Below are 11,720 nucleotides of genomic sequence, written 5' to 3' on the forward strand. Positions count from 1 at the left end.
TATTAACCTTAAATGTAAATAGGATAAATGCCCCAATTACAAGACACAGACTGGCAAATTGGATAAAGAGTCAAGACCCATCGGTGTGCTGTATTCAGGAGACCCATCTCACATGCAAAGACACATATAGGCTCAAAATAAAGGGATGGAGAAATATTTACCAAGCAAATGGAAAGAAAAAAAAAAAAGCAAGGGTTGCAATCCTAGTCTCTGATAAAACAGACTTTAAACCAACAAAGATCAAAAAAGACAAAGAAGGGCATTACATAATGGTAAAGGGATCAATGCAACAAGAAGAGCTAACTATCCTAAATATATATGCACCCAATACAGGAGCACCCAGATTCATAAAACAAGTTCTTAGAGACCTACAAAGAGATTTAGACTCACACCCAATAGTAGTGGGAGACTTTAACACCCCACTCTCAATATTAGACAGATCAACAAGACAGAAATTAACAAGGATATTCAGGACTTGAGCTCAGCTCTGGACCAAGCGGACATAATAGACATCTACAGAACTCTCCACCCCAAATCAACACAATATACATTCTTCTCAGCACCACATCACACTTATTCTAAAATTGACCACATAATTGGAAGTAAAACACTCCTCAACAAATGCAAAAGAATGGGAATCAAAACAAACAACCTCTCAGACCACAGTGCAGTCAAATTAGAACTCAGGATTAAGAAACTCACTCAAAACCTCACAACTACATGGAAACTGAACAACTTGCTCCTGAATGACTACTGGGTAAATAACAAAATTAAGGCGGAAATAACCAAGTTCTTTGAAACCAAGGAGAACAAAAAGAAAACATATCAGAATCTCAGGGACACAGCTAAAGAAGTGTTTAGAGGGAAATTTATAGCACTAAATGCCCACATCAGAAAGTGGGAAAGATCTAAAATTGACACTCTAACATAACAATTAAAAGAACTAGAGAAGAAAGAGCAAACAAATTCAAGAGCTAGCAGAGGCCAAGTAATAACTAAGATCAGAACAGAACTGAAGGAGATAGAGACACAAAAATACCCTTCATAAAATCAATGAATCCAGGAGCTGGTTTTTTGAAAAGATTAACAAAATAGATAGACCACTAGCCAGACTAATGAAGAAGAAAAGAGAGAAGAATCTAATAGACACAATAAAAAATGATAAAGGGGATATCACCACTGATCCCACAGAAATACAAACTACCATCAGGTAATACTCTAAACACCTCTATGCAAATAAACTAGAAAATATAGAAGAAATGGATAAATTCCTAGACACATACACCCTCTCAAGACTAAACGAGGAAGTTGAATCTCTGAACAGACCAATAAGAAGTTCGGAAATGAGGCAATAATTAATAACCTACCAACTAAGGAAAGCCCAAGACCAGACAGATTCACAGCCAAATTCCACCAGAGGTACAAAGAGGAGCTGATACCTTTCCTTCTGAAACTATTCCAAACAATAGAAAAAGAGGGACTTCTCTCTAACTCATTTTATGAGGCCAGCATCATCCTGATTCCAAAACCTAGCAGAGACACAACAACAACAAAAATTTCAGGCCAATAAACCTGATGAATATCAATGTGAAAATCCTCAATAAAATACTGGCAAACCGAATCCAGCAGCACATCAGAAAGCTTGTCCATCACAATCAAATCGGCTTCATCCCTGGGATGCAAGGCTGGTTCAACACATGAAAATCAGTAAGCGTAATCCATCACATAAACAACAAATGAAAAAAAGACCACATGATTATCTCAATAGATGCAGAAAAGGCCTTTGATGAAATTCAACACCCCTTCATACTAAAAACTCTCAATAAACTAGGTACTGATGGAAGATATCTCAAAGTAATAAGAGCTGTTTATGACAAACCCATAGCCAATATCATACTGAATGGGCAAAAGCTGGAAGCATTCCTTCTGAGAACAGGCATAAGACAAGGATGCCCTCTCTCACCACTCATATTCAACATAGTATTAGAAGTTCTGGCCAGAGCAATCAGGCAAGAGAAAGAAATAAAGCATATTCAAATAGGAAGACAGGAAGTCAAATTGTCTCTGTTTGCAGATGACATGATTGTATATTTAGAAAACCCCATAGTCCCAGCCCAAAAACTCCTTAAGCTGATAAACAACTTCAGCAAAGTCTCAGAATACAAAATCAATATGCAAAAATCACAAGCATTCCTATACACTAGTAATGGACAAGCAGGCAGCCAAATCATGAGCGAACTCCCATTCACAATTGCTACAAAGAAAATAAAATACCTAAGAATACAACTTACAAGGGACGTGAAGGACTTCTTCAAGGAGAACTACAAACCACTGCTCAAGGAAATAAGAGAATACACAAACAATGGAAAAGCATTCCATGCTCATGGATAGGAAGAATCAATATGAAAAATGGTCATGCTTCCCAAAGTAATTTATAGATTCAGTGTTATTCCCATCAAGCTGTCATTGACTTTCTTCCCAGAACTTGAAGAAAAACTACTTTAAATTGCATATGGAACCAAAAAAGAGCCTGTATAGCCAAGACAATACTAAGCAAAAAGAACAAAGCTGGAGGCATCATGCTACCTGACTTCAAACTATACTACAAGGCTACAGTAACCAAAACAGCATGGCACTGGTACCAAAACAGATATATAGACCAATGGAGCAGAACAGAGTCCTCAGAAATAGCACCACACATCTACAACCATCTGATCTTCAACAAACCTGACAAAAACAAGCAATCAGGAAAGGATTCTCTATTTAATAAATGGTGCTGGGAAAACTGACTAGTCATATGCAGAAAACAGAAACTAGACCCCTTCCTTACATCTCATACAAAAATTAACTCAAGATGGGTTAAAGACTTAAATGTAAAATGTAAAACCATGAAAACCCTAGAAGAAAACCTAGGCCATAACATGCAGGACATATTCATGGGCAAAGACTTCGTGAATAAAACACAAAAACCAATTGCAACAAAAGCCAAAATTGACAAATGGGACTTAATTAAACAAAAGAGCTTCTGCTCAGCAAAAGAAACTATCATCAGAGTGAACAGGCAACCTACAGAATGGCAGAAAATTTTTGCAATCTATCCATCTGACAAAGGTGTAATAACCAGAATCTACAAGGAACTTAAACAAATTTACAAGAAAAAAGCAAACAACCCCATCAAAAAGTGGGCAAAGTGTATGAACAGACACTTCTCAAAAGAAGACATTCATGTGGCCAACAAACTTATGAAGAAAAGCTCATCATCACTGGTCATTAGAGAAATGCAAATCAACACCACAATGAGATACCCTCTCATGCCAGTTAGAATGGCGATCATTAAAAAGTCTGGAAACAACAGATGCCGGTGAGGATGTGGAGAAATAGGAACACTTTCACACTGTTGGTAGGAGTGTAAATTAATTCAACCATTGTGGAAGACAGTGTGGTGATTCCTCAAGGATCTAGAACCAGAAATACTATTTGATGCAGCAATCCCATTACTGGGTATATACCCAAAGGATTATAAATCATTCTACTATAAAGACACATGCACACATATGTTTATTGCAGCACTGTTTACAATAGTAAAGTCTTGGAACCAACCCAAATGGTCATCAATAATACATAGACTGGATAAAGAAAATGTGGCACATATACACCATGGAATACTATACAGCCATAAAAAAGAATGAATTCATGTTCTTTGCAGGGACATGGATGAAGCTGGAAGCCATCGTCCTCAGCAAACTAACACAGGAACAAAAAATCAAACATTACATGTTCTCACTCATAAATGTGAGTTGATCAGTGAGAACACATGGACACAGGCAGGGGAACAACACACACCAGGGCCTGTTGTTGGGTGGGGGCAAGGGGAGGGAGAACATTAGGACAAATACCTAATGCATGTGGAGCTTAAAGCCTAGATGATGTCCCTCTCCCTCTCCCTCTCCCTCTCCCTCTGTCTCCCTCTCCCCACGGTCTCCCTCTCATGCGGAGCCGAAGCTGGACTGTACTGCTGCCATCTCGGCTCACTGCAACCTCCCTGCCTGATTCTCCTGCCTCAGCCTGCCGAGTGCCTGCCATTGCAGGCACGCGCCGCCACGCCTGACTGGTTTTGGTGGAGACGGGGTTTCGCTGTGTTGGCCGGGCTGGTCTCCAGCCCCTAACCGCGAGTGATCCTGCCAACCTCAGCCTCCCGAGGTGCCGGGATTGCAGACGGAGTCTCGTTCACTCAGTGCTCAATGGTGCCCAGGCTGGAGTGCAGTGGCGTGATCTCGGCTCACTACAACCTACACCTCCCAGCCGCCTGCCTTGGCCTCCCAAAGTGCCGAGATTGCAGCCTCTGCCCGGCCGCCACCCGGTCTGGGAAGTGAGGAGTGTCTCTGCCTGGCCGCCCATCGTCTGGGATGTGAGGAGCCCCTCTGCCTGGCTGCCCAGTCTGGAAAGTGAGGAGCGTCTCAGCCCGGCCGCCATCCCATCTAGGAAGTGAGGAGCGCCTCTTCCCAGCCGCCATCACATCTAGGAAGTGAGGAGCGTCTCTGCCCGGCCGCCCATCGTCTGAGATGTGGGGAGCGCCTCTGCCCCGCCGCCCCATCTGGGATGTGAGGAGCGCCTCTGCCCGGCCGAGACCCCGTCTGGGAGGTGAGGAGCGTCTCTGCCCGGCTGCCCCGTCTGAGAAGTGAGGAGACCCTCTGCCTGGCAACCACCCCGTCTGAGAAGTGAGGAGCCCCTCCGCCCAGCAGCTGCCCCGTCTGAGAAGTGAGGAGCCTCTCCGCCCCGCAGCCACCCCATCTGGGAAGTGAGGAGCATCTCCGCCCGGCAGCCACCCCGTCCGGGAGGGAGGTGGGGGGGGGTCAACCCCCCGCCCGGCCAGCTGCCCCATCTGGGAGGGAGGTGGGGGGTCAGCCCCCCCGACCGGCCAGCCGTGCCATCCGAGAGGGAGGTGGGGGGGTCAGCCCCCCGCCCGGCCAGCCGCCCCGTCCGGGAGGTGAGGGGTGCCTCTGCCCGGCCGCCCCTACTGGGAAGTGAGGAGCCCCTCAGCCCGGCCAGCCACCCCGTCCGGGAGGGAGATGAGGGGGTCAGCCCCCCGACCCGGCCAGCCGCCCCATCCGGGAGGGAGGTGGGGTCTGCCCTCCGCCCGGCCAGCCGCCCCGTCTGGGAGGTGAGGGGCGCCTCTGCCCGGCCGCCCCTACTGGGAAGTGAGGAGCCCCTCTGCCCGGCCAGCCGCCCCGTCCGGGAGGGAGGTGGGGGGGTCGGCCCCCCGCCCGGCCAGCCGCCCCGTCCGGGAGGGAGGTGGGGGGGTCGGCCCCCCGCCCGGCCAGCCGACCCGTCCGGGAGGGAGGTGGGGGGGTCGGCCCCCCGCCCGGCCAGCCGCCCCGTCCGGGAGGGAGGTGGGGGTGTCGGCCCCCCGCCCGGCCAGCCGCCCCGTCCGGGAGGGAGGTGGGGGGGGTCAGCCCCCCCGCCCGGCCAGCCGCCCCGTCCGGGAGGTGAGGGGCGCCTCTGCCCGGCCGCCCCTACTGGGAAGTGAGGAGCCCCTCTGCCCGGCCAGCCGCCCCGTCCGGGAGGGAGGTGGGGGTGTCAGCCCCCCGCCCGGCCAGCCGCCCCGTCCGGGAGGGAGGTGGGGGGGGTCAGCCCCCCCGCCCGGCCAGCCGCCCCGTCCGGGAGGTGAGGGGCGCCTCTGCCCGGCCGCCCCTACTGGGAAGTGAGGAGCCCCTCTGCCCGGCCACCACCCCGTCTGGGAGGTGTGCCCAACAGCTCATTGAGAACGGGCCAGGATGACAATGGCAGCTTTGTGGAATAGAAAGGCAGGAAAGGTGGGGAAAAGATTGAGAAATCGGATGGTTGCCGTGTCTGTGTAGAAAGAAGTAGACATGGGAGACTTTTCATTTTGTTCTGCACTAAGAAAAATTCCTCTGCCTTGGGATCCTGTTGATCTGTGACCTTACCCCCAACCCTGTGCTCTCTGAAACTTGTGCTGTGTCCACTCAGGGTTAAATGGATTAAGGGCGATGCAAGATGTGCTTTGTTAAAACAGATGCTTGAAGGCAGCATGCTCGTTAAGAGTCATCACCACTCCCTAATCTCAAGTACCCAGGGACACAAACACTGCGGAAGGCCGCAGGGTCCTCTGCCTAGGAAAACCAGAGACCTTTGTTCACTTGTTTATCTGCTGACCTTCCCTCCACTATTGTCCCATGACCCTGCCAAATCCCCCTCTGTGAGAAACACCCAAGAATTATCAATAAAAAAATAAATTAAAAAAAAAAAAAAAAAAAAAAACCTAGATGATGGGTTGATGGGTGTAGCAAACCACCACAGCACATGTATACCTATGTAATAAACCTGCATGTTCAGCACATATATCCCAGAACTTAAAGTAAAAAAAAAAAAAAAAAAGACATGTATTTCATCACAGATTTCCTGCGTGTAATGATATTAGATAGAACTTCAGCACTATGCTTAAGGGACTTCCTTTTTTTCTTTTCTTTTTTGAGACAAGGTCTCACTCTGTCGCCCAGGCTGGCCTTGAACTCCTGGGCTCAGGTGATCTTCCCACCTTGACCTCCCAAAGAGCTGGGATTACAGGCATGAGCCACCATGTCCAACCTTTAGGGGCCATTTTTAAACAGCAAAATCACCAAAAAAAAAAGCACAAAAATGTGAATAAATATGATACTAAATAGATCAGGAAAAGCCACTTTACAGTATGAAAGCTGAAAGAAGGCGGTAGAGAGGCTCACCTTGTTTGATTTCAGCTGGGAACGGCAATCAATTCAGATTTTTCTCTGCTCTGCAAATGACCGTAATAGTGCCATGATTATTAATTCGGGGGTAACAAATTTTGTTGGTAGGCAAATTTACAAACTTGGAATCCATGAATGATGAGGACTGACTATTCCATTCCTCAAATCTCTGTAGTCACATACACACTCCCTTAAAGGAGTCTTCCAAGAGTTTTCAGAGAGGAGGCTTTGTGCTGGAGGTGAGGACATGAGGCTGCCCTCCAGGAGGGGGGCTCTGGGGGAAGCAGAGGCAGGGCTGGACCATGACGAGATGTAGCAGACAGGATCAGGGGTATTGTGCCCAAGGGAAATTAGCAAAAGCAGGCAAGGAAGGGAGTCTAGCTTTACTGAACCTAAGCATGGTATAAAGCTGCAGAAATTAAAACAGTGTGGTATTGGCGAGGAACAGACCGACAGGGGGATACAGCAGAGAACAGAAATGGATCTAGTCCCTAAAGGAATCTGACAGATATCAAAATGTTTTGTGTTCAGTCTGCTTGGTCAACCCAGAGCCTACAGAGGCCAGGCCGAGGAACCAGGGTTGACTCAGTCCTGGAGGCAGGTTCTCTCCTGCTTCAAGGGCTGATCTGTGTGTGTACTGAGCAATGGCCAGCCCTCTCACCCTAGCTCAGGAAGGCTCTGAAGGGTCACTCCAGCTTCAGAGCTCCCTGTGTAGCAGCTGAGGCCGCCAGGGGAGAGAACCCAGCCTGAGTTCTCCCTCTGCGCAGTCCTGTCCCTGCCTCCTCCTGCCACCAGTGTGGTTCCCCAGAATGCTTTCAAATAAACCTTTACACACTAATCCCTTTCCCAGTCTATTTTTCCAGAAAACCAAACTTATGACAGGCCCAGTCTAGGTGACTTTTTTACCCCTCATGTGTTAGTGATCTATTGCTGCATAACAAATTACCCTAAAACTCAAGGGTTTGAAACAATAAATATTTATTATCTCACACAGCTTCTGTGAGTCAAGAATTTGGGAGCAACTTAGCTAGGTGCTTCTGGGTAGGCGCCTTGCATGAGAATGCATTTGAGATATGGCTAGGGTTGCTGTCTTCTCTCTGAAGACTTGACTGGGGACTGTTGGGCTCACTAACATGGCTGTTGGCAGGAGGCTTCAGCTTCTCTTCATGTAGACCTCTCCACCGGGGCTGCTTGAGTTTTCTCACAATGTGACAGCTGGCTTCCTCAAGGGCAGGTAATCCAAGAGATTACCAAGGGCAGGTAATCCAAGAGACAGTGGGGAGGAAGCAGCCATGCCTTTAATGACCTAGTCTTGGAGGTCATGCCCTGCCAATTCTGGATGATGGAGCCATTAGTTGATGACACCTGGAAGAGGGCAGGTTAGGAGAGTCTGTGTGTAGGGGGCAGTATTCAAGGTGAGGTTCGAGGAAGGATTTTCCAGATGCAGCATCTCTCAGGCCCTTTGGAAAGTGTGCCATTCATGAAAAACCTTGTGACTCGTAAGGCTTTAGTTGGCAAGAGAGATTTTTGTGGAAAACTATGCATAAGGGAAAAGCAATGGAAACATCAAACAGACATTTATTTATTTATTTTTATTTTACTTTAAGTTCTGGGATACATGTGCAGAATGTGCAGGTTTGTTACATAGGTATACATGTGCCATGGTGGTTTGCTGCACCTATCAACCCATCATCTAGGTTTTAAGCCCCACACACATTAGGTATTTTTCCTAATGCTCTCCCTCCCCTTGTCCCTCATGCTCTGACAGGCCCTGGTATGTGATATTCCCCTCCCTGTATCCATGTGTTCTTATTGTTCAAGTCCCACTTATGAGTGAGAACATGTGGTATTCGGCTTTGTGTTCCTGTGTTAGTTTGCTGAGAATGATGGCTTCAAGCTTCATCCATGTCCCTGCAAAGGACATGAACTCATTCTTTTTATGGCTGTATAGTATTCCACAGTGTATATGTGTCACATTTTCTTTATCCAGTCTATCATTAATGGGCACAACCAGACATTTAAAATCCGCTGTGTTAAAGTTCTAGTTTCCAAGCAGATCAGATTCTCTGATATTTAAAACCTACATTCCCTTTGTTCAAATCAATTTCTTCAATGGTCCAGGAAACCCCACCAAGTTCCCCCAGGCTCTCCACAGACTCTTTAAAGACCTGCAAGGTGGTGCCCTTGCCGCTGCATTTGCTCTTCATATGGTTCAGCTCAGGCTGCCTTAATAAAGCCCCATCGACTGGGGGCTTAACCACATACTGATTTCCTACAGTTCCTGAGGCTGGAAGTCCGAGATCAGAGTGCCAAGATGGTCAGGTTCTGTTAAGGGCCCTCTTCCTGGCTTGTAGGTGGCCTTTCTCACTGTGTCCTCACATGGCAAGAGAGGAAGATGAGTTCTCTGGTGTCTCTTTTTATAAGGATATTAATCCTATTTTGTATTGTTTCTGTCACTTTCAGTCCATGCTGATGGCGTTTCTGCCAACCATTTTCTTAAAACCTTTGTGAGTTTCTTGTAAATCTTAGTGGGGTTCACTTCACTAAAGACAAAAGTCACCCTTACAAAGCTTTCTGTTTGTTTGTTTTTGAGACGGGGGTCTCGCTCTGTCGCCCAGGCTGGAGTGCAGTGGTGTGATCACAGCTCACTGCAGCCTTGACCTCCTGGGCTCGAGCAATTCTCCCACCTCAGCTACCGAGTAGCTGATGCTACAGGTATGCACCACCACACCTGGCTAATTTTTTTTTAAGTTTTTTTTTTTTTAACTCTCAGAGCCCCAGCTCTGCTCTGTAGACATAGGGTCTCACTATGTTGCCCTGGCAGGTCTCCAGCACCTGGGCTCAAATGGTCTGCCTGTCTCAGCCTCCTACAAACCTTTTGGATAAGCCCTTCTCTACTGTGGACTTCTACTGAGACTGTAGCCCTAATTTTGCATAAATAGTTCTCCAAGGCACCTCCTTTAACTACCTTAAAAAGCAGTTCCATCATATCCTGTTTCTCTTTCTTTTAGAGACAGGGTCTTTCTATGTTGCCCAGGCTGGCCTTGAACTCCTGGTCTCAAGTAATGCTCAGGCCTCAGCCTCCTGAGTGGGCCTATGGGCACGCACCATCGCAACTGGCTTCCAGAACCTTTATTTGTCTCAGTGTGGTTTCACTCTGTGAATAGCTGTTCTGGGGTCTCTAGCCAATGTCCCATGTGTTCAAAGAACTCCCCGTTCTTTGGCTGGTAGAAACTTGAATAGTTCCTGGCTCTGTGTAAGATGTGAGAATTATTTGGCATGCAGTCATTGTTCTTTCCCAGGTAGTTGGGTTTTTTTTGTCTGGCTTTATGGAGTTTTCGCCTTATTCATTCACATACTGATATTCAGCCAAAAAGCTTATGTGACCCCTATTAGTATTTCTGGAGCTTTTCTCCACCTGGATTCTTTGTCTCTGGTACTCTGCTTTCCAAATTCTGATTACCACAGCCTAGCAAACACCGATTCCATTGTCCTCTACTCAGCAAGACTGCCACACCTTGCTGGGGATGCCCTTTCTATACTACACTCTGGGAACTGCCTCCAGGTAGGAAATTGGAGGTCACAAAGCTCACTCCATTGGCTTTCTTTCTCTCCTGTCCCGTGCTGCTCAGCCTCTGCAGTTGTTTCGTGTATTTTATCCAATTTTCCGACTGTGTGTTTGTAGTGAAAAAAATTACCAACGTGTCCATTGAGATTTGGGTCAGGACTTTTCTATGTACTTATATCAAAGGACCTGGTCCAGTGACAGAAGTGGTAAGTGGAAGGGTTTTCTCATGGCTTGAAATAGAACTCGCTTTTGGACAGAGTGGCAGATTTGGGTTCAAGCCCGAGCTCTGCTCTGTAAAGGGTTTGTGGCCAAGGGCAGTGGCAGAGCCTCTCTGAGCCCTCCCCTTGACCCTGAGGTCAGCTCTGGGCCCCACTCTAGAGTGCTGGGCCATGGGCCTTCAGCCAGCACTGAGTTGGGGTGCTCCCCTGTCCCTAGTCACTGGGTGAGAAGGGGGCAGTTCTCCAGTGGCATTCACCAAAACTTCCCTGGTTTAAAAGAAAAAAATGTTCTTTTTTTTTTTTTTTTTTTTTTTTTGAGACTGAGTCTTGCTCTGTCGCCCAGGCTGGAGTGCAGTGGTACAATCATGGCTCACTGCAACCTCCACCTCCCGGGTGCAAGCAATTCTCCTGCCTCAGCCTCCCAAGTAGCTGGGATTACAGGTACCCACCACCATGCCTGGCTAATTTTTGTATTTTTAGTAGAGACAGAGTTTCACCATGTTGGTCAGGCTGGTCTCGAACTCCTGACCTCAGGTTATCTGCCTGCCTCGGCCTCCTGAAGTGCTGGGATTACAGGTGTGAGCCACCGTGCCCAGCTGGAAAAAAAAAAGAATGTTCCTTATTGATGCCTTTTAAATTCCAAAAATGAAAAACATCCTAGTAGCCAGTGAAACCAACCCAAAATGTACAGAGCCAAAGCCTATCACCTCCATTGAAGTCAATGCCTGACCCGGTCCTCTGCCCTTGGAGGCAGACAACATTGGCAGCCAAGGCTGTAGGACCTTTCTCCTCACTCACCTACATGCTCACTCATCCCACTTGTGGGATGGGGAATGGCTGCTTTAGCCAAAATTGTGTGTACACATATGGGTGTGAGTGGGTGGCATGTACACATATGTGGGCATGTGTGTGTGTATAAAACCGCCCCTTGCCCATGCCACTGCACAATATGTGTCATGGGCCTTGCTACCATTAGTAGATATAAAGTTATATCTTTTTATGTCTCTGAGCATATATTTACTACATAAATAATGTTACACAAATTAAAATATATAATATATGCTTTTGTCTGTCTACTGTGAAGATTTTTTTCCTTTTACCTGCCTGCCTTTTTCCTTTCAAGCCTCTCCTTCCCTCCCAGCTCCCCATTCCCCTTCCTTCTCCCCACCTTCTCTCTTTTGTAATTTTTTC

General features: G+C 47.3%; 1 annotated feature.

Moving 5' to 3' along the window:
• Positions 5,546 to 6,293: an enhancer, noted in NCBI's record as "NANOG-H3K27ac hESC enhancer chr2:97128139-97128886 (GRCh37/hg19 assembly coordinates)". NCBI's record gives its function as "activates a minimal SCP1, AML or CMV promoter by ChIP-STARR-seq in naive H9 embryonic stem cells {active_cell/tissue: H9 hESC(naive)}" and the evidence as "EXISTENCE:reporter gene assay evidence [ECO:0000049][PMID:30033119]".

Source organism: Homo sapiens, chromosome 2, assembly GCF_000001405.40.
Source record: "Homo sapiens chromosome 2, GRCh38.p14 Primary Assembly".
Taxonomy (NCBI): domain Eukaryota; kingdom Metazoa; phylum Chordata; class Mammalia; order Primates; family Hominidae; genus Homo; species Homo sapiens.